This window comes from Homo sapiens, chromosome Y (assembly GCF_000001405.40).
Source record: "Homo sapiens chromosome Y, GRCh38.p14 Primary Assembly".
NCBI lineage: Eukaryota > Metazoa > Chordata > Mammalia > Primates > Hominidae > Homo > Homo sapiens.
Window position 1 is genome coordinate 12,352,443 of NC_000024.10, and position 27,882 is coordinate 12,380,324.

The 27,882-nt window shown below is 46.8% G+C and overlaps 1 long non-coding RNA gene and 1 pseudogene across 1 annotated transcript; one reads left to right on the forward strand and one right to left on the reverse strand.

Moving 5' to 3' along the window:
• ARSDP1 (arylsulfatase D pseudogene 1) lies at positions 1,595–27,332 on the forward strand (annotated as a pseudogene).
• On the reverse strand, positions 2,336–11,270 carry LOC107987343 (uncharacterized). Its single transcript, XR_001756060.1, has 3 exons — positions 9,375–11,270; positions 6,291–6,417; positions 2,336–3,728 (listed from the first exon to the last, which is right to left on the reverse strand). It is a non-coding gene; the product is annotated as an uncharacterized LOC107987343 (long non-coding RNA).

The following is a 27,882-nucleotide window of genomic DNA, read 5'->3' on the forward strand; positions in this document are numbered from 1 at the left end:
ACGGGCCATGATGACAATGGCAGTTTTGTCGAATAGAAAAGGGGGAAATGTGGGGAAAAGAAAGAAAGATCAGATTGTTACTGTGTCTGTGTGGAAAGAGGTAGACATGGGAGACTCCATTTTGTTCTGTACTAAGAAAAATTCTTCTGCCTTGGGATGCTGTTAATCTATAACCTTACCCCCAACCCCGTGCTCTCTGAAACATGTGCTGTGTCCACTCAGGGTTAAATGGATTAAGGGCGGTGCAAGATGTGCTTTGTTAAACAGATGCTTGAAGGCAGCATGCTCGTGAAGAGTCATCACCACTCCCTAATCTCAAGTACCCAGGGACACAAACACTGCGGAAGGCCGCAGGGTCCTCTGCCTAGGAAAACCAGAGACCCTTGTTCACATGTTTATCTGCTGACCTTCCCTCCACTATTGTCCTATGACCCTGCCAAATTCCCCTCTCCAAGAAACACCCAAGAATGATCAATAAATACTATTTTAAAAAAAATGCAAGTTACCTCCCTGCTATCCTGGCGTTTTCCTAATTACTGTAATAAATCTGTCTTTCTCTACCTACAAAAAAAAAAAAAAGAAAAGAAAAGAATTACATGAGAGGGTAATGAGCAAAACTGCATCACTCAAAAACAAAAGGATGAGTCACAGAAAAGACGGGGAGGGGTCCAGGGCACAGTGGTTAATCAAAAGGAGTAATTTCAACATCAGTCTGATGGAAGGAATAAAGATAAAAATAGCAGTTGGAATTAGCCAGGCTTGGTGGTGGCCACCTGTAGTCCCAGCTACTCGGGAGGCTAATGCAGGAGAATCGCTTCAACCCAGGTGGAGGTGGAGGCTGCACTGAGCTGGGATCGCACCACTGCACTCCAGCCTGGGCCACAGAGTGAGACCCTATCTTAAAATAATAATAATGGTAATAAAAGGAAAAAAAAAAGAGTCCATCTAGCATTCCCCATCCCAAACTTAGAGTACAAGTCCAGCATCTGGAACAGACATTTCAAACACCAAGTTTTGAGAAACTGAAATTGCAGCTTGATTGCTCTGGGCAGGTCATAAGACCCTTCCCAACAAAAAGAAAAGAGACTCCGTGTGCTCAAACCTAACTGGGTTTGTTTATTTGTTTATTTATTTATTTTATTCTTTGAGACAGAGTGTCACTCTGTAGCCCAGGCTGGAGTGCAGTGGCGCAAACTCCACCTCCCAGATTCAAGCAATTCTCCTGCCTTAGCCTCACCAATAGCTGGGACTACACACGTGAGCTACCACGCCTGGCTAATTTTTGTATTTTTAGTAGAGACAGGATTTCACCATGTTGGCCAAGCTGGTCTGGAACTCCTGACCTCAGGTGACCTACTCCTCTTGGCCTCCCAAATTGCTGGGATCCTAGGCGGGAGCCGCAGCTCTGGGTCAATCACAACTGGGTTTAATCAGCTCCTCCTTAGCATCGGCCTCTCTGAGTGACGACCTGGGAAACCTGCTTCCACGCCCAGGTCCTGGAGATCCCTGAGGTCCCGAGAGCCAGGACATGAGGCGGATGAAGGAGGGGCAGGCGTACACCCTAGATCCCATAGCTGAGAGAGATCACCTTGGCACTAGCAGAGCCCTGCGCAGAGTGCGCAAAGGTCCCTCGCTCTGGGCCAGCGATGGGCCATGCGATCAGCCAGCTTGAGTGGACGCACCCGCCCGCCGCCAGGTGCCAGGGACCCTGGGATGTGGCCCACACTAAGGCTTGGGGTGAGGGCCTGGGGAGGGGGTCGCGAGCACGAAGGGTCCCTGTAAAGGGCGTGGTTATATCCGGCGCCCTGTAGTCCCCAGAATGTAGCTGGAGGCGGCTTCTGTGCCTGGGAAAGACGCCAGACATCAGAGCCCAGGGATAGGAGGCGACTGAGGGGATTCCTCGGTTATAACAAGGGGGTTAGTTACATTGGGTTTTAAGATACCTAAGTTTGACAGAAGCTATGCGTTGTTTTACAAATTTAAGAAACTAATTTTAATATATAATGGTTGGAAGACTAAACAAGAGAAGGAGAAAAAGGGTTCTGCCAATCCAGTAATTAGGGTAGTTAGTCATAGATTACAGTTAAACATGCTTTGTACTAGGGGGTGTCATGAATGTAAGCATTCCTTTCTACTTTTAGAGCCATTGGGGTGGTAAGGATGACAGTATGAGGTCTTTTCTAAGCAGGAGTCCTTCTTTCTGGAACTTTTTAACGAACACCAGGTCACCTGGCTGGAACGAGTGGCAGGGCCCCATCTGATCAGGAACTGGATTGGGATGAGCTCTCAGTCCAAGTGGCTGGATGATATCTTGCACCTTTTGGAGAGACTGTAGGTAATGTAATAAATTAGCTTGTGAGATTTCTGCTAAATGGGTATCTTTTAGCTTAGGCAAGATCGGCGGAACCCTCTTATATATGATTTTAAAAGGTGAAAACCTAGCCTGGTAGGAAGTTCATCTTACTTTAAGAAGGACTAAAGAAGGAGCCTTACCTAATCTTCACCAGTCTTTAAGATTAACTTTGTAAAAGTATTTTTAGGGTGTGGTTTATGCATTCTACCTGTGCAGAGCTCTGAGTTCTTACTGACTGACTGAGGTATGGACAAGGTGAAGGCTGGTCTATTATCAGACCTTATGGCAGCAGGCAGCCTATGTCAAAGGATGATTTCATCGAGTAAAAACCTAGCTACTGTGGTGGCAGTCTCGTTTTTGGGGGCAAATGCCTCAGTCCATCCAGAAAATGTATCTGCTAGTACCAAAAGGTATTTCTACTTAGTCCAGTGTGGTTTTATTTCTGTAAAGTCAATTTCCTACCTTTTTCCTGGCGAGTTTCCCCGGAGGCAGTGCCCTGAGATGGGTTTAGGACCTTGCTTGGCATTTACTTGAGCACAAGCCATACACCAGAGAGCTGCTTGGTTTGCAGAGTTCTGAAGGCGAAGGGATCTTGAAATGGCTCCTTAGGAGCTGGGCCAGTTTTACTCCTCTTAAATGGGTGGTAGAATGAAGACGACTGATTAAAGTTTCCTTGAGAGCTCGGGGTATGAAGATTCTGGAATCAGGAAGAATCCACCAACCTTCCTGATTTTAATTGGCCTGAAGATCTGAAGCTTGTTTCTTTTTTTTTCTGGGGCTGCCAAGTTAGGTTGCGGAAAGGACACAGCGGACAGCAGGGTTAAAGGCATGACAGGGAGCCATGCTGCCTTTCGAGTTACAGAATCTGCTCTTTGGTTCCCATGGGCAATGGCCAAGTCTTCCTTTTGATGTCCTTTGCAGTGAATTACAGCCACCTGCTTCAAGCAGGGCTAAAATTTCTTCTTTGTTTTTGACAATCTTTCCTGCTGAAGTAAGTAGCCCGCATTCTTGATAGACGGCTCCATGTACATGTACAGTAGCAAAAGCATACCTGCTGTCAGTATAAATATTAATACATTTGTCCTTAACCCATCAGACAGCCTGAGTGAGGGCGATCAATTCAGCCTTCTGTGCCGAGGTACCTGCTGGCAACACCTGGGACCACAGCACATCTGTCTCCGTAGTAAAGGCTGCACCAATCTTTTGTACTCCCTGTTCGAGGAAGCTGCTACCATCTATAAACATGGTATATGTTTATAGGGGCATATCTTGGAGATCAGTTCAGCCAGTTTCTGTAGTTTCTAACAGTTCCTGGCAGTCACGGACAGGTGTAGTGAAGTTTGGATCAGGGAGGAAAGCAGCTGGATTTAAACACCTTATGGAAGAGAAAGTCAAAAGAGGCTGATCTAACAGTAAACTCTGATACTGCAGGATGCGAGCATTTGACATCCATTTGCCAGAAGCACTTGGTAGCAAAATCTCTATGGCGTGAGGAGCCATGAGGGTGAAGTTTTGGCCCAGAGTCAATTTATTAGCCTCCTGGACTAGGCTTGCTGTGGCCACTACGGCTCACAGACAAGTTGGCCATCCAGCGGCCACAGGGTCCAGTCTCTTAGACAAATAGGCTACTGGGCATCTCCAGGGTCCTAAAGTCTGAGTGAGCACCCCCTTAGCAACTCCCTGGCTTTCGTGAATAAAAGGTGAAATGGTTTTGAGATATTAGGGAGGGCTAGAGTGGGGGCCTCAGTTAATGCCTTTTTCAGGTTTTTGAAAGCCTATTCTTTGGTGTCAGTCCATACTAGTGGGCCATTCCTTCCAGTAGCAGTGTACAGGGGCTTGGCAATCTCTGCGGACCTTAATATCCACAGGCGACAGTATCTTATGGCCCCCAGAAATTCACGTACCTGTCTCTTGGTGGGAGTGGGGATTTGTGGGATGGCTTCCTTACAAGCACTGATAAGTGCCCTTTTTCCTCTGTTTATCTCATACCCTAGGTAGGAGACTCTGGGAAGACAAAGCTGGGATTTTTGGCTGAGACTTGATACCTGAGTTCCTGAAGGAGGTAAAATAGGTCCTTAGTGTGTTGCAGGCAACTGTCAGTAGTTTCAGTACCTAATAAAAGGTCATCTGTGTACTGAAGAAGAGTACAATTAGGGTTCTGGCTTGAAATGGTATAAGATCCTGTTGAAGGGCTTCCTTAAAAAGGGTGGGGGAATTTTTAAAACCTTGAGGTAACTGAGTCCAGGTCAATTGGGTGGTGTTTCCTGAGCCAGGATCTGTCCATTCAAAAGCAAAGATAGGTTGGCTTTTGGGGGCCAGAGGAATAGCAAAGAAAGCATCTTTTAAGTCAAGGACAGTGCAAATTGTGTGTTCTGGTGGAAGCAGTCTGAGTAAAGTATAAGGGTTAGGGACAGTTGGGTGGACAGTGACTATCTGTCTGTTAACTTCCGTTAAGTCCTGTACAGGCCAGTAATCATTTGTTCTGGGTTTTTGGACCGGAAAAAATGGAGTATTCCAGATGGACTGGCAATGGTGTGAGTATGCCAGTTTGTAACAGTTGCTGAATATGGGGGTTGATTCTCTCCCTAGCCTGCTGACTCACAGACTATTGCTTCACCTGGACTGGCAAGGTGGTGGCCAGGAGTTCTACTACCACTGGTGGATGGTGCTTAGCCCGTCCTGGGGGGATTGGCTCAGCCCAGACTCAAGGAAAGAGAGTCTGTAATTCCAGTAGGAGAGGATTAGTTTTATTTTCTGGTGGTTTTGGAGGTGAAACTAACAGATATTCTTCTGACAGAGGGGTGGTTAACAGGAGCTGAGCAATAGGGGGCATTGTGTCCCCTAACATGAGGTGAGCTTGTTGGGCCGAGAAGGAAATAGATGCCTACAGCTTGTGGAACAGGTCTCATCCTAGGAGGGGAAAAGGACACTCTGGGACCAAGAGGAATGAGTGAGTTGCTCTTTTCTGTCCCAAACTCACCTCTTATGACTGGGTGACAGGATATTCCTGAATAACTCCAGTAGCTCCCTGTACAACCACTTTCCTATTACAGACACTGCCTAGGGGCATCTGCAGTACTGAGTGTTCCGCCCTGGTGTCAATTAGGAAGTGTACAGGCTGGCGCCCTACTATGGCGGTCACCATGGGCTCCCGAGGGCCAAGTGTAAAGGAGCCCTGGTCCCATCAATCATCAGAGTCCTCCGCAGCAGGGAGGGTGAGGACTTTTTTGTCTTCTGGTTTTTCCTCTGGTCTTAATGGGCATTCCTTTTTCCAGTTTCCTATCTGCTTGCAATAAGCACATTGGTTTTTCTTTGAAGGGAACCCTGGTCACTTTTCTGGCTTTTCTAGCATGGACCCAGGGCCCCCTGGCTAGTGTTCTGTGATGGGGGCCTTTCCTTTCTGGCTTCCTGGATGGCCGCCACTAAGATTTTCGCTTGTCTTTCTGATGCTTTGTCAGCAGCCTTGTCAGCTGCCTCAGCTGCCTGTTTTTGCTTTTTAAACTCTTGATTGTCAAAAACTTTTTGGGCTATTTCTAAAAGTTGACTGATATTCATCCCAGCAAATCCTTCCAGTTTTTGTAGGTTTCTTTTAATATTAGGGGCTGCCTGAACCACAAATGCTAAATTAAGAGCACAGCTATTTTCAGGAGACTCCGGGTCAGAAAGGGTGTAAGTCTGATAGGCCTCCTGGAGGCATTCTAAAACGTTCACAGTGACTCATCAGGCCCCTAGACAACTTCAGTCATCTTAGACAAGTTTACGGGTTTCCAAGCGGCTCACTTGATACCCACAAGGAGATACCGGTGAAAATCGTCTAAAGATCTCTTCCCACCTGAGGAGTTTGGGTCCTAATTAGGCCGGGTAGAAGGAAAAACTTCCTTAAGGAGGCCTCTAGCTTCCACTTCTGGCCTATTGGCTGATGTGAGGAAATACTTACTGGCCTCTCTTTGGATCTGTTCCTTCTCTTCAGCGTTGAAAAGGGTCAAAAGGAGCTGCTGACAGTCATCCCAGGTGGGCCAATGGGTCCAGAGCATGGACTCCATCAGTGAGGTCAAGACCTGGGGCTTTTCAGAAAAGGGGGGTTTATAATCTTTCCCATTATACAGCTCAGAAGTAGAAAAGGGGACATAAACTAAGAATGGAGCTAAGTGCTCATCACCCAAAGGGACTTGTGCCTCTCTCAGTGGGAGGAGGAGGGCTACCTCCTCCTGCCATGGCCGCAATCTAGAGGCAACAGGCGGACAGCCCACAGGGGACATCCTCGAGGAGACAAGGGAAGATTCTAAAGGAGCAAGAGGGTTATAAGCTGGTGGAACTGGGTGAAGAAGATTCTCTTCTTCTTCAGAAGGAAGCAGAATAGGAGGAGCCGAGCCAGCTGAGGGTTGAGGCAAAAGTGAGGTCTGGCTCAAAAGGAACTTAGAGGTAGAATTATGAATGATGCATTAGCGGAGCCATGGAGGAGGGCTCCTGACCAAACTCAGCCACTGATCAATGTATGGAAACTGATCTGGGTGACCAGGAGTTCCAGCAACAACCCGCCACACAGCCTGAACAACTGCGAGCTTCAGTGACCCTTCTGGGGGCCACCCAGCTCCAAAATTTGGCCATTCTGCTTCACAGAGTGTCCAGAGTTTGCCTTTTTTAAGGCAGACCCCATAATCCTCTGAGAAGCCTAGAGAAAATTTTTGTAACATACATTGGAGAGGGCTCAAATCTTTATGAGGCCGGGAAGAAGAGTATCCTATTCTGGGGCAGTTTAACAAGGTTTGAGCAGAGATAATAAACCCAGCACTGACAGAGAAATTCATGACCTGGGGGGTTGTAGCATCAGAAGAACAGAAATAATATGGCTAAAAGAAGCAGGAAAACAGCTATTGCCAGTGCTTCCTGCTACATGAGTTCTGTCCTTTTAAGCTTTGAGATTTAGGGAGAAGACAAGAGGTGGGTCCGAGGCTGGTGGGACCTACATGATTTCCCTCTGCCTTTTGACTTACAGCCTAAATATCTTTGGTGTCTCCACGACTGAAAGGCAAATAGTTCAAACTCAGCCTTTTCTTTTAAGGGTTTGAGGAGGGAGAGCAGAGCTAAGTCTTGGAGGTGCTGGACTTGCTGTGACACAGGAAAACGAGATGTGCAGGGCAAGGGATGGGGATGAGGAGAAAAGGGGCCACTCAGATCCTTTCAGGCTGAGAGGAGCCATGCTGGGCAGTGCTGGTTTGCCAGGATGACTCTGCGGTCCCCGGCCCCACCTCCAGGCCCCATCAGGCGCTGCAAGCCTAGCTTAGAAGCCTGGCCCAGGGCCAAGGCTACCATAGCAGGCTGGGTGCCTGCATTCTGAGCTGGGTGTGGAAGCACTGGGGCTCGGGGAAGTTGGCGGCTTTGATGCCTGAAGGCGTAGGAGCCGGGCACCTGAGGGGTCCCCTTGGGGAGGGGGTCCGGCACTGTCACCTCCTACTCTTTGCCTGTGGGTCAGGAGCCCCTGCCAGAGGGGAAGGAGGCTGTTTCTTTTGTGTACTGGTGGAAGCATGCCTGGCCCCTGGGCCCAGCAACCTGAAGACACACACCTGAGACCTCCTGTGTTAGAAAATCTGTACTCAGGACTTTGAAGAAGTCCTTACCCAGTCGTCTTGGGCAATATTGATGACCTGACATATGAAACTTAGACAAACACTAAACGGGACAATAAACACCAAACACAACAATAGACACAAAACAGGCAATAAACACAAATCAGGCAATAGACCCTAGGGTATATAAACAATTATGGAAGTTTTTATAGACAGACAAAGGGGAGGGGGTCCCGTGATGGGATCAGTCAGATGCCCGCCTGGCCACTCCCCCTGAGGGGACTTACGCTCCTCTTAGCATTTGCAGGCCGGTATAAACCCCTGGCTCAGATCCAGCTATGCCCGATGCTGCCTTAAGCCTTATGAGGTCACCACGGAACTGCAGGTGAGGGCCCACTTGAACTCCATAGCTTTCGCTGTGGAGCTACAAACTGGAGATTCAAGGGCAAGCCTTTGAATTCCACATTCATGCACACATTCACACAGAGTTTATAACAATTTTTCTTATTCCCGTTCTAAACAGAGGTCTCCGGGAGACCTGAACGAGAGAAAGAGAAGAGATAGAAAAAGGGGGAGGGGGAGAGAGAAAAAAAAAGAGGGGGAGAGACTGAGAGACTAGTCTTAATGGAGAGGCCGGCCTGCCAGAAACCAGGACTCTGTCCTCCAACATCCTGGAATATGGACAGAGTCAAAGAGAAATGCCCTCATCAGGGACAGTTCCCGCTCACCAAACCAGAACCAAAGGTGCCTAACAGAAAACCAAGGCTCTGTCCTCCAGTGTCCTGGAATGGGGGCAGAGTCAAAGAGAGAGACACCCTTATCAGGGCCACTTCCCTCTCACCAAACCAGAGTCAGAGCTGACTTACATTCCTGAGACCAGAAACTGAGGACTCAGAAGTTGAATTTTGTGGGCACACTCCAGTGGTCGATCCGTTCTCCTCCGGAAGACGGAGTCTTATGGGGCCCTGGGACATCTTCAGGTGGTGCCTCCCCTATAAGTCCACCGTATGGGGGAGGCTGGAATGAGTCCAGCTCTCACCTGGTGGCAAATATCTCGCTGGGGTCTCCAAATATTGTAACCAAGTGAGTTATAGAGAAACGCCACACTTTGAGACTAATTAAAGAGACCTTTATTAGCTGGCGACTGAGAGATGGCTAATGCTCGAAATTCCCTCAGCCCTGAAGAAGGGGCTAGATTTTCTTTTATACTGTGGTTTAGAGAGGGGAGGGGGAATTGAGCTGAAGCAATCTTACAGAAGTAAAACAGGCAAAAAAGTTGAAAAGACACATGGTTACAGGAAAACAAACAGTTCCAGGTGCAGGGGCTTTAAACTCATCACAAGGTGATAGGTGCGGGGGCTCTGGGTGCTATCTGCCAGACACAAAAGCGGGGCCTTAGGGTACTATCACCCAGGTGAATTCCTGGGAACTGTGGACATAGCTTGCCACCTTACCTTATCAGTTAATTGCACTCTTTGATGTGCTAAGTGTCAGCTTGCACAAGTTAAGTCCTTGAGGAAGGGGGTGGGTAACGAGCCCTTAATGTCTTGCAAATGAAGGAGCCAAATGGAATCCATCCAGCTTTTTCAGCTAAGAGAGAGTCAATAAAGTTAATACAAGTTAGGGTATCAGACATCTGCATCTCGCTATTGAGTCACAGGAAATAGCAGTCTGACCCTCGTTTGGTCTGGGGACACAAGTGCAGGAATTCAGGCCAAGATAATAACCTCCCATAAAGATGAATGTCTTAATTTAGTTAAGAAGGTCGGAAGACCTTCACCTTCCCAGCAAGCCGCCTTGAAATGCCTACTTCCTGTGCCAAATTGTAGATAGTCATTTCTGTGTTTTGCTTTTCTCTCCAGGGAATCTTTGCCGGTGCTACTGTTTTTATGCTTGCTTCTGAAGACGTGTGAACCTAAAACTGCAAATGCCTTTAAACCAAATATCCTACTGATCATGGCGGATGATCTAGGCATTGGGGATCTCGGTTGCTATGGGAACAATACACTGAGGTACAGTTGGTTGTTGCTATTGGTGATGATGTGATGTGAGTTTGAAGGAATAGTGCATTTAAAATCTGCCTGGAGAAATTAGGAAACTCCTTAGGGCCTCAGAACTCAACAAAAAACTACCAACAGGTAAAAAGGCCCTTTTAAACGCTGCAGAACTGCGGTGAGGGGGTGAATGTATTACTACCACAAAATGGGTAGCTTAAAACAACAGAAATTTGTTCTCCCAGGTCTGGAGACCAGAAATCTTAAATCCAGGTGTGGGCAGGGCCGGGCTCCCTCGGGGGGCCCTATGGGAGGATCCTTCCGGACTTTCCCAGCTCCTGGGGGCTCCAGGTGTCCCTGAGCTTGTGGCCGCATCACTACAGTCTCTGCCTCCATCTCCACGGGGCCTTCTCCTCTGTGTCTGTGTCCTAATCTCCTCATCCTATAAGGACACCGGCCATTGCAGCAAGGCCTGCCCACTGTAAAGATCTCATCTTCTGTTGATTACATTTGCAAACAACGTCTGTTGTGGGCTGAATTCTGGCCTCCTCCAAATTTGTAGGTTGAAGCCCTAACCACCAGTACTTCAGGGTGTGACCGTATTCAGAGATGGGGTCTTTGAAGAGGTAATTAAGTTAAACTGAGGTCCTTAGGGTGAGCCCTAATCTGATATGGATTACTAAAAGAGGAGATTAAGACACCAACAGAGCTCCCTGAGAGGCTGTAGGGGAGGACCCTTCCTGACTCTCCCAGCTCCTGGGGGCTCCAGGCATCTCTGGCTTTGTGGCCACATCACTCCAGTTTGTGCCTCCGTCCCCACGTGGCCTTCTCCCCTGTGTCTGTGTCTCCTCCTCTGTCTCTCAGAAGGACACTGGTCATTGCATCTAGGGCCCTCTCTAAACCAGGATGATCCCATCTCAGGGTACCTAACTAATAAGGTCTCACGCACAGGTTTGTGGAGTCAGCACATGGACAGATCGGTTTGCAGACCCCCATTCAGCCCACTGCAGTGGCATGTGCAAACACAGAGTAGTAGCCTCTATGCCAGCCTTACCAGCAGAGCGCTTGAGTGGTGCTCACATGCTTTCTGCAACAGGAGAAAAGGTGAGAAACCTCCTTATTCATTTGGTGGGCTTTTAGAAGGACTGCCTCAGAATGCAGGCTGCATCTGCTTTTTAAAAGATGCCAACCTCAGGAGCAGTTGCCGCAGAGCAGGGCCTCCCTTCTTTGTAGAGGACAATGCAGCACCTGCAGCAGTCTGCCCTGTGGGGGCTGGGAGGGTGGCTCCCGCATGTCATCCCAGCACCTTGGGAGGCCAAGGAAGGTGGATCACTTGAGCCCAGGTGTTTGAGACCAGCCTGGGCAACATGGCAAAACCCTGTCTCTATGAAATACACAAAAAATTTGCCAAGCATGGTGGTGCATGCCTGTAGTCCCAGCTACTCAGGAAGCTGAGAGTGGAGGATGGCTTGAGCCCGGGAGGTGGAGGTTATGGTGAGCTGAGGTTGCGCCACTGCATTCTAGCCTGGGCCACAGAGCAAGACCCTGTCTCTAAATCAATCAATCAATCAATCTGCCCCTTGTCCAGGGATCCCCTTTCGAACACCCTGAGCAAGCCTGGTTGTAATTCACAGAACATGCAGTTCATCTGTTTACAGTGTACAGTTCAGGGACTTTTATTCTATTCATGGAGCTGTGCATCTGTCACCACAAACCATGTTAGAGCATTTGCATACCCCCAAAGAAACTCTGCATCCCCTTAGCCATCACCTCCAGCGAGGAGCGAATCTGTGTCCCCTAAACACCTACATCGAAGTCCTGACCCCCAGGACCTCAGACTGTGACTCTATTTGGAGACTGAGTCTTTAGAGACGTGATTCAGGTAAAATGAGGTCACTAGGGTGGGCCCTGATCCAATAGGACTAGGGTCCTCATAAGAAGAGGAGATAAGGACACAGACACACATAGAGCAATGACCACCTGAGGACACAGGGAGAAGATGGTGTCTACGAGCCCAGGATGGTGGCCTCAGGAGGAACCAGCCCTGCCCATGCTTGATCTCAGACTTCCAGCTCCCAGAAATGTGAGAGAATAAATGTCTACTGGGTTTGTTTTTCTGTTTTATTTTGTTTTGTTTTTTTGAGAGAGGGTCTCACTCTGTTGGCTGGAATGCAGTGGCATGATCACAGCTCACTGCAACCTCCCTCTCCTCGTCTCAAGCAATCCTCCCACCTCAGCCTCATGAGTAGCTGAGACTGCAAACACATGCCACCACATCCTTGTATTTTTTGTAGAGGCAGGTTTTCACTATGTTGCCAAGGCTGGTCTCGAACTCCTGGCCTCAAGTGATCCACCCACCTTGGCCTTGGCCCCCCAAAGTGCTGGGATGACACTCATGAGCCACTGTGCCCGACCAATATCTGGTGTTGAAGCGGCCAGGTATGTAGGACTTTGTTATGGCAGCCCCAGCTAACACTCCTCCACCTCTCAGCACCCTAACCCTCCGTGTCTGGCAGCCACTAATGTACTTTCCATCTCTATAGACTCCCCTGTTAGGGACATTTCATACAAATGCAATTATATAACCTGTGGTCTTTTATGTCAGGATGCTTTCACAGACCAGTGTTTTCAGGGTTCCTCCCTGTGGCAGCAAGTGTCAGTACCGTGCCTCACGCCTTGCAGTGGCTGAATCTATGAGAATTCCACAGATTCCATTCTATGTGGATACCTCTTTTGGCTTCCTTTTTTTTCTTTTTTGAGACAGGGTCTCACTTTGTTCTTTCACCAAGCCTGGAGAGCACTGGTGCGATCTCGGCTCACTGCAACCCCCGCCTCCTGGGCTCAAGCTATTCTCCTGTCTCAGCCTTCCGGGTAGCTGGGATTACAGGTGTGCACCATCTTGCCTGACTAATTTTTGTATTTTTTTTTTAGTAGAGACGGGGTTTTACCATGTTGGCTAGGCTGGTCTTGAACTCCTGACCTCAAGTGATCTGCCCGCCTAGGCCTCCCAGAGTGTTGAGATTATTGGCATGAGTCACCATGCCCGGCCCTCACTGTTTTTTGATATCTGATGCTGAAAGCTTTTAGGCCTCTTCTCTCTGTGTTCCCCATCTGGACAAGCAGATAAGAAAGCACAGGGAATGTCTACTTTGGTGCTGATGGCAGATTCAGACCATAAACGCCCCCACCCTTGCATGGGAACTCTCATCCAATCCCCACACCCTCACAGCAATTAAAAACATAAATCTCCTTTCTTTGCTTCCTTATTTCACATGAGCTTGGAAGGTCTGCACTGCTCTCCCTAGAAAGCCTCATAATGTTTGTCATAAGTTGTCTCATGTACTCTGTGTGTGTGTGTTGGTGTGTGTGTGGGTGTGTGTGTGTGTGTGTGACGTCACCCATCTCAACATCAACACCAAACTTAGGATAGCGGTCAATCTGCCTCTACAGGAGGCCATAATGCAACTAATTCTGAAATCCAGTGAAGTCTTCACAGTCTATTCCTGTGCCTTTCAGAGCAGGGATCTGCTTAAGCCAAATGCATGTCTCCCTTCCAGCAATGACATTTGTGTGCTTTGCTCAGAATGCCAAATATTGACCAGCTTGCAGAGGAAGGTGTGAGGCTCACTCAGCACCTGGCGGCCACCCTGCTCTGCACCCCAAGCCGAGCTGCATTCCTCATGGGGAGACATTCTTTCAGGTCAGGTTGGTGTCATGGAGATGATGGAAGAATGGGCACATCTGTGTGCACTCATTCTATCATCTGTAACAGTTGAGTACTGATGGTGAAGATATAGGGGCAATGGTACAAAGATTATCTGCAATTCATCCTCTTCCCTATATTTATGTAAGGAATATTGTATTGTGTGCATACACATAAAAGTTGTGATCATTAGGATGTGAACAGAAAAGCCAAGGTCTGTTGAATATTTTAAAGAGGTTTATTCTGGAGCCAGTATGACTGATCACAAGACCAAGTGTGTCTTAGAGAGAGCAAAGTTTCCCCAAGTTGAGAAGCATTGTGAGATAGATAGATAGACAGATAGACAGACAGATAGATAGATAATTGATAGCTAGATACATGCTAGATGGATGATAATGGTAGATGATGGATAATTGATAGATAAATATCTAGATGATGATGATACATAATGATAGATGATTGATAATGACATGATAGGTGATTGATAGCTAGACAGCTAGATAACAGGTGATTATAATGATAGATGATAGAGAAGTGATAGATGATAATGATAGCTGATTGATAGCTAGATGAGTAATGATAATGATATATAAGAGATACATAGATGGATAGATATAGATGATAGATGATGGATACATATTGGGATAGATAGGTGATAGGTAAACAGATAGATAGCATATGAGAGATCACATAGAGTCTGTCATCCTAAGGTAGGGTGTCTCTGTTTTGGCATGATGGACATTTGGGGCTAGAAAATTCTCTATGGTGAGGCCGTTCTGTGCACTGTATGTAGGGTCTTGAACAGCATACGTGGGCTCCACACACCTGATATGAGTAGCACCACACCCCACTCTTTCTGAGTTGTGACACCACAAACATCTTCAGACATTGGCCATGCTTATTATTTTGAGAATAGTATGATAGGTAGGTAGGTAGGTAGGTAGGTAGGTAGGTAGATAGATGACAGATGATAGATGGGTAGATAAGTGATAGCTCCATACATGATAGATGGATGATAGATAACAGCAGCTTGGCTCGGCTGCGCAAATCCAGATCTCAGACACCAAATCCCCATAGTTGAGAAGTCCTCCTCTAGAGAAGGGAAAGTAAATTCTTACTCTCTTCCCTGCCCCACAGGCATGGACGCCAGCAATGGATACTGGGCCCTTCAGTGGAATGCAGGCTCAGGTGGCTCCCTGAGAACGAAACCACTTTTGCAAGAATCTTGCAGCACCGCGACTATGCAACTGGCCTCATAAGTGTGGATATGTGGGAGCCTTATATTATATGGTGGTTGAGAAGATTCATGATAAAAAAGATCCCAGTCTGGGTGCAGTGGCTCATGCCCGTAATCCCAGCACTTTGGGAAGATGAGGTGGGCAGATCACGAGGTCAGGAGTTCAAGATCAGCGTGACCAACATGGTGAAACCCTGTCTCTACTAAAAATACAAAAATTAGCTGTGCGTGGTGGCGCACACCTGTAATCCCATCTACTCAGGAGGCTGAGGCAGAAGAATCACTTGAACCCGGGAGACAGAGGTTTCAGGGAGCTGAGATCGCACCACTGCACTCCAGTCTAGGCAACAGAGCAAGACTCTGTCTCAAAAAAATAATAATAATAAAATAATAAAAATAATCCTGTTTTCCCTCAAAGGAAAACAATCCTGTCTCCTCTGAATCAGAAGTTGGTGCCCAGGGGGCCAGGTGCGGTGGCTCATGCCTGTAATCCCAGCACTGTGGAAGGCTGCGGCGGGCAGATCATGAGGGCAGGATATTGAGACCATCCTGGCTAACACAGTGAAACCCCGTCTCTACTAAAAAAAAGGCAAAAAATTAGCCAGCCACGGTGGTGGGTGCCTGTAGTCCCAGGTACTCAGGAGGCTGAGGCAGGAGAATGGCATGAACCCAGGAGGAAGAGCTTGCAGGGAGCCGAGATTGTGCCACTGCACTCCAGCCTGGGCGACAAAGCGAGACTCCGTCTCAAAAAAAAAAAAAAAAGAAGTTGGTGCCTGGTCCGTCTCATACCTATTGGATTGTTCCCAGTTTTTTTGAGTTTTTTTCTTTTTAAATTCCAAATCCTAGGAGATTGCCCTCTTTTCTTCTCTAGACCTATCAGTCTTCAGCTTGTCCCCATTTATCATGACCTTCTTCAGACATTATCTTTCTCTACATGTTCACTCATCATCTCAAAACCCCCAGAGTTAACAAACACTGCCTTCCTTTAGACAACAAGCCCCAGCAGGGGCACAACACCTTCTTTATAACAGATACCATGTCAGGGGTCTCCAAGAGCACCATTTAAAAGAGACAGCATGTCAAAAGTCTCAAAGACCACCCTTTATAAGAGCATGTCAGGGGTTTCCAGGACCACCCTGTATCAGAGACAGCATGTCAAGGGTCTCCGAGACCACCCTTAAGTTCAGGAAGTTGCTAGGAGGACTTGGCATACAGTTGTGCTCATGGGTGATTTATGACAGTCAAAGGAGGTAAGGCAAAATCAGTGAAGGGAATTACATGGATGAAGCCCAGGACAGACCAGACACAAGCTCCCAAGAATCCTCCCACAGTGGGATCACATAGGATGCACCAATTCCTCCAGAAATGAGTTTTAACAACACGCATGGAATGCTGTCTATTAGGGAAGCTCCGGGGAGATTCAGCGCCCAGGGGTTTCTGTTGGGGGCTGGTCCTGCAGGCACTCACTGCCTGGCACCAACCCGAATTCCAGACTCCCAGAGCCAAAGGAGATGTTTAGCATGTTTCACTCATGTCCTTGTGAAGGGACCACCAAACAGGCTTTGTGTGAGCAATAAAGCTGTTTATTTCACCTGGGTGCAGGCAGGCTGAGTCCAAAAAGAGAGTCAGCGAAGGGAGATGGGGATGGGGCCATTTTATAAGATTTGAGTAGGTAGTGGAAAATTACAGTCAAAGAAGGTTGTTTCCTGGCAGGCAGCAGGGGCAGCCGGGAGGGTCACAAGGTGCTCAGTGGGAGAGCGTTTGAGCCAGGATAAGCCAGGAGAAGGAATTTCACAAGGTAATGTCATCAGTTAAGGCAGGAACAGGCCATTTTCACTTCTTTTGTGGTTCTTCAGTTACTTCAGGCCATCTGGATGTATACATGCAGGTCACAGGGGATATGATGGCTTAGCTTGGGCTCAGAGGCCTGACAGCATGAACCACATTGCTTTTGCATATAGCTTAGGCAGTCAGCTTACTATTTTAATAATGTGAATTCTCCACTGGAAATCCAGATCTCAAACACCAGCCATGGGGAATCTTACAAGCCGGCCTTCCTAAGGGGCACTAGCTCAGGCCTGCCCCTTAAACTCCTTTCTGCACGGAGAGGAAAGGAGGGAGATGTTGGTTTATGCCGCCAAGCACCAGGCAGTCTGCTGGTTACCTCCTTCATTCCTTACACAGCCTGTGGGTTTAGAGGTGCTGTCCCCGTCATACACATGAGAACGTGGGAGCGCAGTGGTGAGGCCACCCGCCCCAACCTGGTGGTGGGATTTCTGTGCAGGGTCCCCAGTTCCTCTCTGTGCTTTTCTCACACTCAAAGCCACTGTCCCATTCACAGGAGCCGCAACACCCCAACTTGTCCAAAGCTGTGGTTTTCTAAAGGAGGACAACCATTGTTCCTCCTTTTCAAGTTTCCTGCCACTTTATTTTTATTTTGAATTTTTTTAAAGTTTTTTCTTCTTTTATTTATTATTTATTTTTATTTTTTTGAGATGGAGTCTTGCTCTGTCCCCTACACTGGAGTGCAGTGGCACGATTGCAACTCACTGCAGCCTCCACCTCCTGGGTTCAAGCGATTCTCTTGCTTCAGCCTCCTGAGTAGCTGGGACCACAGACATGTGCCACCATGCCCAGCTAATTTTTTTGCATTTTTAGTAGAGCCAGGGTTTCAGCATGTTGGCCAGACTGGTCTCGAACTCCTGACCTCAAGTGATCCACCCACCTCGGCCTCCCAAAGTGCTGGGGTTACAGGGCCAGTGCTTTATACTGTAGAAGTCTGTGTATCTCCTACTCTGAGGGTGGATTTATTCTTTATTTTATTTTTTTTAGAGACAGGTTCTTGCTCTCTCACCCAGGCAGGAATGTAGTGGCAAAATCACAGCTCACTGCAGCCTCAAACTTCTGGGCTCAGGCGATCCTCTCACCTCAGCTTCCTAACTAGCTGGGACCACAGGCATGCGCCACCATGCCCAGCTAATTTTATTTCTTGTTTTTGTAGAGGTGGGGGTCTTGCTATGTTGCCCAGGCTAGTTTTGAACTCCTGGCCCCAAGAGAGCCTTCCACCTTAGCCTCCAAAACTGATGAGATTACAGGTGTCAGCCACTGCACTCAGCCAATTTTTCTTTCTTTTGTTAACTATTTTAGTGGATTTACTTTTGTTTACCAAGATTGCATGCATCTTGGTAAACATTTGCATTTCTTCTAAGAGTCTTCATTTTGTGGTACACATACTCAGTCTGTTTTGGTGAAAGCCTGTTCTTCATGTTCCAGAGACACTCCTCACTATATCCAAGCATATTTTTTCCCCTAAATGTAAGAAGGGGGAATAGGAGTGTGTCTGGGTTTGAGAAAAAGATACATTTTTAGGGATTCTGAGGACAGTTTGTGAGGAATGGTCAGGAGGAAGTAGGGAGAAACCAGCTTGAACTCCTCCACTGTTTTGTTTGTTTGTTTGTTTTTGGAGACAGGGTCTTACTTACTGGGTGTCCCAGGCTGGAGTTGGAGTGCAGTGTCACAGTCTTGGCTCACTGAAACCTCTACCTCCCAGGCTCAAGCAATCCTCCCACCTCAGCCTCCTGAGTAGCTGGGACCACAGGTGCCTGCCATCATGCCTGGCTAATTCTTGTATTTTTAGTAGAGACAGGGTTTTGCCATCTTGCCCAGGCTGGACTCAAACTCCTGGACTCACGCCATCCTCCCACCTTGGCCTCCAAAAGTGCTAGGATTACAGGCAAGAGCCACCATGCCTGGCCTTATCTCCTCTAGTTTCAAGTGGGGCAAATAAGGCCCTGAAACCTTTCCCATCTATTTCTGTACCTGAATTTGAGTTGGCAGGTGGTCTGGATGTGAGATGGACAGAAGGGTTGCATGGACACCCCAGTTCTCAGACATTCTCCTGAAATTTGAGGTGTGGGCTTCCCCACATTCTAGCTCTACGATATTGTTCTAACAGTTATTGCCTTAGGAAAAATTGTATAAGGGCATTTTGATTACAAGTTGGTGGAGAGAGCCAGTTTCTGCTACTACATTTCAGAATTATTCAGGAGTCAACTATCATTAGTAACTGGTTACCTTTTAAGTAACATATATATTTATATACATATAAAATATAATATATAATATATACTTTATTTTTTATACACTTAAATATATATTTATATACTTTATTTTTACTTTAATACTTATATATAACTTATAATACTTATATTTACTTATATACAACTATTATGTATTACTCATATATAACATATAATATATATTACCTTATAAAATATGTAAGTATATATTATATATGACATATAAAATATATAGGTAATGTATACTTACAAATTTTAGGTAATATATCTGTTACTTAAAGATATTTACCTGTGGTGAGGCGTGGTGGCTCACACCTGTAATCCCAGCATTTTGGGAGGCTGAGGCAGGCAGATCACCTGAGGTCAGGAGTTCAAGACCAGCCTGACCAACATGGAGAAACCTCATCTCTACTAAAAATACAAAAAATTAGCCGGAGACGGTGGTGCATGCCTGTAATCCCAGTTACTCAGGAGGCTGAGGTAGGAGAATTGCCTTAACTGGGAGGCAGAGGTTGCAGTGAGCCAAGATTGTGCCACTGAACTCCAGCCTGAGTGACACAGCATGACTCCATCTCAAAAAAAAAAAAAACTATTTACCTGTATATATAGGTTATATATATTTATAGATTACCTATGTATATATAAATATTAATATTTATACAGATATATATATCTATATGTTATGAATGTATATTTAAAAATTAATACATTTTATTTATATTAATATATTTGTATATATAAATATTAATATTTTTATATACATAGGTTATATATATTATATATAACCTGTATTCATATAGGTTATATAGAATATATATTTGTATTTATTTATATATATAAATTTATATATAGGGTCCCTTTGATGTATTGTGTATTCTTACATTATAAAGGTTTTCTTTTTTCAGTATAATATATAATATGCTATAACATATAATATGTAACTATATATTTGTAATGTATATGATATATAACCTATATTTGCATTATATATAAATATAAATATTTTGAAAGGTATGCAACTCCTATATTGAAAGGTATGTAACTATAACATTTTAAATATTTATATTTATCACATTATATTTATAGTTATATAGGTTATATATTACATATAAAACCTATATTATAGGTAATATATTACATATAAAACCTACATTATAGGTTATATATATAACCTATATTATAGGTTATATATAAAATCTATATTATAGGTTATATATAAAATCTATATTATAGGTTATATATAAAATCTATATTATAGGTTATATATAAAATCTATATTATCGGTAATATATATCCTATAATATAAATACATGTATTACATATATATGTAAATGATATTTTGTAAATTATTTAATAGAATGGTCTAGGGTTGCAAGACTGTAAGAGCAACATTCTGGAAAGTGTTAAAACTTTTATTTATTTATTTATTTATTATTGCTATTTTTTTTTTTTTTTTTTTTTTTTGTGGAGTCTCTCTCTGTCGCCCAGGCTGGAAAGCAGTGGCACGATCTCCGGCTCACTGTAAGCTCCGCCTCCCGGGTTCACGCTGTTCTCCTGCTTCAGCCTCCTGAGTAGCTGGGACCACAGGCGCCCGCCACCACGCCCAGCTAATTTTATTGTATTAAGAAGAGACGGGGTTTCACCGTGTTAGCCAGGATGGTCTCGATCTCCTGACTCCGTGTCCTCCCATCTCGGCCTCCCAAAGTTCTGGGATTACAGGCGTGAGCCACGGCTCCCCGCCAAAAGTCTTAAACCTTTAATCACTTGCCAAGGGTTCTGACATGGATACATTCATTAGTCTTTCACGGATCAGAATGCATTCATTTAGGCCGGGCGCGGTGGCTCATGCCTGTAATCCCAGCACTTTGGCAGGCAGAGGCGGGCGGATCATAAAGTCAGGAGATCGAGACCATCCTGACTAACACCCCGTTTCTACTAAAAATACAAAAAATTAGCCAGGCGTGGTGGCAGGCGCCTGCAGTCCCAGCTACCCTGGACGCCGAGGCAGGAGAATGGCACGAACCCGGGAGGCGGAGTTTGCAGTGAACCCAGATCGGCGCCACTGCACTCCAGCCTGGGCGACAGAGCGACACTCCGTCTCAAAAATAAAAATAAAAAAGAATGTGTTCATTTAAACACCGGTATCCAATCCATTCATTGCCTTTCCATTTCCAGTTTTGCTCTTCGCAGACTTTTCTTTTCCTGCCGAGGCGGAATGATTCGGAGGTTCTTTGCAGCAGAAAGGGCTGCTTCAAAGCGGGTCTCCGTTGAACGTCTGCGTTTCTTTTAGGAAAATGGCACCAGGGTGTGAATTGTGCATTCCGCGGGGATCACTGCCACCACCCCCAGAACCACGGATTTGACTATTTCTACGACAAGCCCTTCACGCTCACAAACGACTGTGACCCAGGCAGGCCCCCTGAAGTGGACGCCGCCCTGAGGGCGCAGCTCTGGGGTTACACCCAGTTCCTGGCCCTGGGGATTCTCACCCTGGCTGCTGGCCAGACCTGCAGTTTCATCTCTGTCTCCGCGAGAGCAGTCACCGGCATGGGCTTCTTGTGTTTTATCTCTTGGTACTCCTCCTTTGGGTTTGTGCGACGCTGGAACTGTATCCTGATGAGAAACCATGACGTCACGGAGCAACCCATGGTTCTGGAGAAAACAGCGAGTCTTATGCTAAAGGAAGATGTTTCCTATATTGAAAGGTAAGCAACCATCACATCTTAAAGAGGAGATGGGGCCGGACGCGATGGCTCATGCCTGTCATCCTGTGTCCGGAATTGGTGGGTTCTTGGTCTCACTGACTTCAAGAATGAAGCCGCCCACCCTCACGCTGAGTGTTACAGCTCTTAAGGCAGCGCGTCTGGAGTCTGTCCCTTCTGATGTTCGGATGTGTTTGGAGTTTCTTCCTTCTGGTGGGTCCGTGGTCTTCCTGGCTCAGGAGTGAAGCTGCAGACCTTCGCGGTGAATGTTACAGCTCTTAAGGTGGCGCGTCTGGAGTTGTTCGTTCCTCCCGGTGGTCTCGTGGTCTCGCTGGGCTCAGGAGTGAAGCGGCAGACCTTTGCTGTGAGTGTTATAGCTCATAAAAGCAGTGTGGACCCAAAGATTGAGCAGTAGCAAGATTTATTGCAAAGAGTGAAAGAACAAAGCTTCCACAGCATGGAAGCGGACCCTAGCGGGTTGCCACTGCTGGCTGGGGCAGCCTGCTTTTATTCTCTTATTTGGCCCCACCCACATCCTGCTGATGGGTAGAGTCCAGTGGTCTGTTTTCACAGGGCGCTGATTGGTGCGTTTACAATCCCTGAGCTAGATACAAAGGTTCTCCACCTCCCCACCAGATTAGCTAGATACAGAGTGTTGACACAAAGGTTCTCCAAGGCCCCACCAGAGTAGCTAGATACAGAGTGTGGATTGGTGCATTCACAAACCCTAACCTAGACACAGGGTGCTGATTGGTGTATTTACAAACCTTGAGCTAGATACAGAGTTCAGACTGGTGTATTTACAATTCCTGAGCTAGGCATAAAGGTTCTCCACCTCCCTACCAGACTCAGGAGCCCAGCTGGCTTCAGCCAGTGGATCTTGCACAGGGGCTGCAGGTGGAGATGCCTGCCAGTGCCAGGCGGTCCGCGTGCACTCCTCAGCCCTTGGGTGGTCGATGGGACTGGGCTAGGTGGAGCAGGGGGCGGCGCTCATCAGGGAGGCTCGGGCGGCACAGGAGCCCATGGAGGGGGTGGAAGGCTCAGGAATGGCGGGCTGCAGGTCCCAAGCCCTGCGCCGGGGGAAGGCAGCTAAGGCCCGGTGAGAAATCAAGCGCAGCACCGGTTGGCTGGCACTGCTGGGGGACCCAGTACACCCTCCGCAGCCGCTGGCCCGGGTGCTAAGCCCCTCACTGCCCGGGCGGGCAGGGCCGGCCGGCTGCTCCGAGTGCGGGCCCGCCAAGCCCATGCCCACCCATAACTCTAGCTGGCCCGCAAGCGCTGAGCCTCTCCCGACACACCTCCCTGCAGGCTGAGGGAGCCGGCTCCGGCCTTGGCCAGCCCGGAAAGGGGCTCCCACAGTGCCGCGGTGGGCTGAAGGGCTCCTCAAGTGCCGCCAAAGTGGGAGCCCAGGCAGAGGAGACGCCGAGAGCGAGCGAGGGCTGTGAGGACTGCCAGCACACTGTCACCTCTCAATCCCAGCACTTTGGGAGGTCAAGATGGGAGGATCTTTTACCCCAGGTGCTTTAGACTAGCTTGGGCAACGTAAGAAGACTGGTTCTACAATAAATAAAATCATTAGCCGGGCATGGTGGTGTGTGCCTGAAATGCCAGCTACTCAGGAGGCTAAGGTGGGAGGTTCGCTTCAGCCTCAGATGTTGAGGCTGCAGTAAGCAATGATCACACCACTGTGCTTCAGCGTGGGTGACAGAGTGAGACTCTGTCCCTAAAAAAATAAAAATAAAGTTTAATTAAAAAAAAGAGGCAGTAACTGCTCAGAGCATCTGAGAGTCTCCTTATAATCTTTGGGATCTCAGACACCAACCCTCGGAAGAGACAGCTTTGCAGAAGCCAACCTTTTCATGTGGCTGGGTTCCCCATATGAGAGTCTCGAAGTGGATGTCATGTGATGGCTTCAATAGCATTGACATACACGCCATTGGATTCTGTACATTTTTATTGACATTTCTTTAAACTTTTTTTTTTTTTTTTGCATTCTTTGTAGAGATGAGGTCTCACTATGTTGCACAGGCTGCTCTCAAACTCCTGGGCTCAAACAATCCTTCCATCTTGGCCTCCCAAAGGGCTAGGATTACAGACGTGAGCCACTGTGCCTGGCCTTTTTCTAATGTCTCATTTTTATTTTTTTTTTTTTTTGAGACAAGGTCTCACTATATGGCCCAAGCTGGTCTTGAATTCTTGGGCTCAAGCCATCTTCCCACCTCTGCCTTCCAAAGTGCTGGGATTGTAAGTGTGAGCCACCGTGCCTGGCCCTTACTTTTTAATTTGTACAAATGTATGGGGTATGTGTGAAATTTTGTTACGTGTATACACTGAATAGCGAGCAAGTCAGCATACTTACAGTGTCCATCTCCTGAGTACAATACATTTTGCTAGCTTTGGTCACTCTACTCTGCTACCAGACATTGAATGTATTCCTTTAAGCTTACTGTATGTTTGTACTGTTTAAACCACTTCTCTTTGTCCTTCATCCTTCCCAGCCTCTGGTCTCTATCATTCTATTCTCTATCTTCATGTGATCAGTTTTTCTTAGCTCCCACATGTGAGTAACAACATGCAGTATTGGTCATTCTGTGCCTGGCTTATTTTAGTTAACATAGTGACCTCCTGTTTCATCTGTATTGCTGCAAATGACAGGATTTCATTCTTTTTGATGGCTGAATAGTATTCCATCATGTACATACACCAGATATTCCCTTTTTTTCTGAGACAGGGTTGGTTCTGTCACACATGCTGGAGAGCAGTGGCATGATCACGGCTCCCCGCAACCTGTCTCCCAGGCTCAAGCAATTCTTGTGCCTCTGCCTCTTGAGTGGCTAGGATTATAGGCGCCTGCCACCACACCCTGTTAATTTTTTTATTTTTACTAGAGACGGGGTTTCCCCATTTCACCATATTCTCCAGGCTGGTCTTGAACTCCTGACCTCAACTGATCTGCAAGGCTTGGCCTCCAAAAGTACTGGGATTACAGGCTTGAGCCACCGTGCCCAGCCTCCAGTCTTTATTATGGCTGAATGGTATTCCACTGTGGACATACACAGTATATATATATACACACATATATATATAAATAATATGTGTATATAAAATATATATAGTAGTGTGTATATATATAAAAAAATATATATATATATATATATTTTTTTTTTTTTGAGCAGGGTCTGGCTCTGTCATCCATGCTGGAGTGCAGTGGAGTGATCAGGGCTGACTGCAAGCTCCACCTCCTGGGCTCAAGCCATCCTCCCACCTCAGCCTCCCGAGTAGCTGGGACCACAGGCTCGAACCACCATGCCCAGCTAATTTTTCTATTTTTGGTAGAGGCAGCATTTCACCGTGTTGCCCAGGCCTGTCTTGAATTCCTGGCCTCAGGTGATCCTCCCACCTCAGCCTCCCAAAGTGTTGGGATTACAGGCATGAGCCACCGCGTCTGGCCCACCATCTATTCTTTCTGTGTTCACCCACTGATGGCCTCAGAAGGTGATCCCCTGCCTTGGCTCTTGTGAATAGTGCTGGAGTGAACATATGGGTGCAGGGGTCCCTTTGATGTACTGTGTGTTCTGTGTATTCTCAAAGAGGTTTTCTTCTTTCAGACACAAGCATGGGCCATTTCTCCTCTTCCTTTCTTTGCTGCATGTGCACATTCCCCTTGTGACCACGAGTGCATTCCTGGGGAAAAGTCATCATGACTTATACGGGGATAATGTGGAGGAGATGGACTAGCTCATAGGTAAGTCAAGGTACCACGGAGCCTCACTCCACCCTCGGCCTCAGCATTGAACATACAGACTGGCCATCTGAATATGAACCAGCTTGCAATAAAGAATAACGGTGGTGGCTCATGCCTGTAATCCCAGCACTTTGGGAGGCTGAGGCAGGTGGATCACCTGAGGTCAGGAGTTCAAGACCAGCCTGGGCAACATGGTGAAACCCTGTCTCTACTACAAACATAAAAATTAACCCAGTGTGGTGGTACACAACTGTATTCCCAGCTACTTGGGAGGTTGACATATGAGAATCGCTCAAATATGGGAGGCAGTGGTTGCAGTGAGCTGAGATTGTGCCACTGCACTCTAGCCTGGGTGACAGATCAAGACTCCATCTCAAAAAAACAAACAAAAAATTAAAATAAAAATAATAAGAGTTACTCTTAGCACTTTTGGAGGCCCAGGTAGACAGATCGCTTGAGGTCAGGAATTCAAAACCAGCTTGCACAACATAGTGAGACCCCATCTCTACAAAAATAAATGCTTAGCCAGCTATGGTGGCACATGCCTGTAGTGGCAGCTACTCAGGAGGCTGAGGCAGGAGGATCGCTTCAGCCTGGGAAGTCAAGGCTGCAGTGAACTGAGATTGCACTGCTGTACTCCAGGCTGGGCAACAGAGTGAGACCCTGCCTCTTCAACAATAATATAATAGTACAAAGAATGGGGGCAGAACACACTCCCATATCATATTTATTTGCTCCTTCAGTATTTCCAATTACTTGGTCTAATTCTGCACAAAATCAACCTTCTACACAGCCAGTGACTTCATGTCATCATCAGAAGCTACCGAAAGTGAAGCAATAAAGTTAATGTTCAGGACAATGCAGAGACGCTGTCTTCCTTCTATGGCCTTCAGGAAACCATGGAGAGGACCGGTGAGGCTGCAGATTCTTAAAAGAGCACAGACATAAAAATTCTTGCAGAATCTGAATGTGTCTCCTGAGACAAGCATAGTGTTAGAGTGGGATTAGTTCACATTCTTAGAAGTCTACATTTTCAGGTGGGGCAAAGTGGCTCATGGCTTTAATCCCAGCATTTTGGGAGGCTGATGTAGGGAGATGGCTTGAGGCCAGGAGTTCAAGACCAGCCTGGGCAACATAGTGAGAGCCCCCGCATCTCTACAAAAAATTTTAAAAATTGGACAGGCATGGTGGTGTGCACCTGTGGTCCCAGCTACTCCGGAGGCTGAGGTGGGAAGATCATTTGAGCCCAGGAGGTTGAGGCTGCAATGAGCTATAATTATTGCACCATTGAACTCCAGCCTGGGCAACATATCAAGACCCTGTCTCCAAAATAAAAAGAAATAAAAAATGAATAATAGGAAGAAAAACTTCTCTCATATCATTTATTTGCTCCTTCAGTATTTCCAATTACTTAGTCTAATTCTGCATAAAATCAACTGTATTAGTCCATTCTTGCAAAGAAATAACAGATTGGGTAATTTATAAAGAAAAGAGGTTGGATTGGCTCATAGTTCTGCAGGCTGCACAGGAAGCATGGCGGTGTCTGCTTCTGGGGAGACCTTGGGGAGCTTTTGTTCATGGTGGAAGGTGAAGGGAGCAGGAGTCTCAAGCAGGAGCAGGACCAAGAGAGGAGGGGAGGAGCCGCACACTTTTAAACAACCAGATCTCGAGAGAAGCTACTCACTCTGCAGCACCAAGGGGAGATGGTGCTCAACCATTCATGAGAACTCTGCCCCCATCATTCAGTCACCCCCCCAGGCCCCACCACCAACACTGAGGATGACAATTCCACATGAGATTTGGGCGGGGAAACACATCCAAACCATATTATCAACCTTCTACACAGCCAATGACTTAACATCCTCATTAGAAGTTACAGAAACTAAAGCAATAAAGTTCAGGACAATGCAGAGATGTCACCTTCCGTCTATGGCCTTGAAGAAACCCTGGAGAGGACCAACGAGGCTGCAGGTCTTAAGAGAGTGTAGATATTAAAATCCTTGCAGAATCTGAACATATCTCCTGAGACAAGCATAGTGATAGGGTGGGATTGGTTCATAGTGTAAACCAAAAATAAATTTAAAGGCCCCCCACAACCATCTGAATGGATTCCCGCCTTTGCCAGGGCACCCTAAAACTTAACCTGAGAGTCTGGCTCATGCCATGATGGGAAGAGGAGTTGGGCATGCCTCATTCTACCCCTCCAGCACGAACATCCACACAGACCTTAACTCTGATAAGTAACATTTACAATCTGTTTTCTCTGAAGCCTGTTACCTGGAGGCTTCATCTGCATGATAAAACCTTGAGATTGAGACCTGCCTCAGATACTTTTCAGTTTATAGCAGTCTTCAAAGTCTGCATTTTCGGAGCTACAGATGACCATGTGGCTTATATCGTTTTGACTTTATGTCAGTGCTTTCAATGACCAGTGGCCTCCAGGGATAAAGCAATTGCATGGTTTGCAGGGCATCCTCTGCACTGCTGAGCCATCAAACTCCA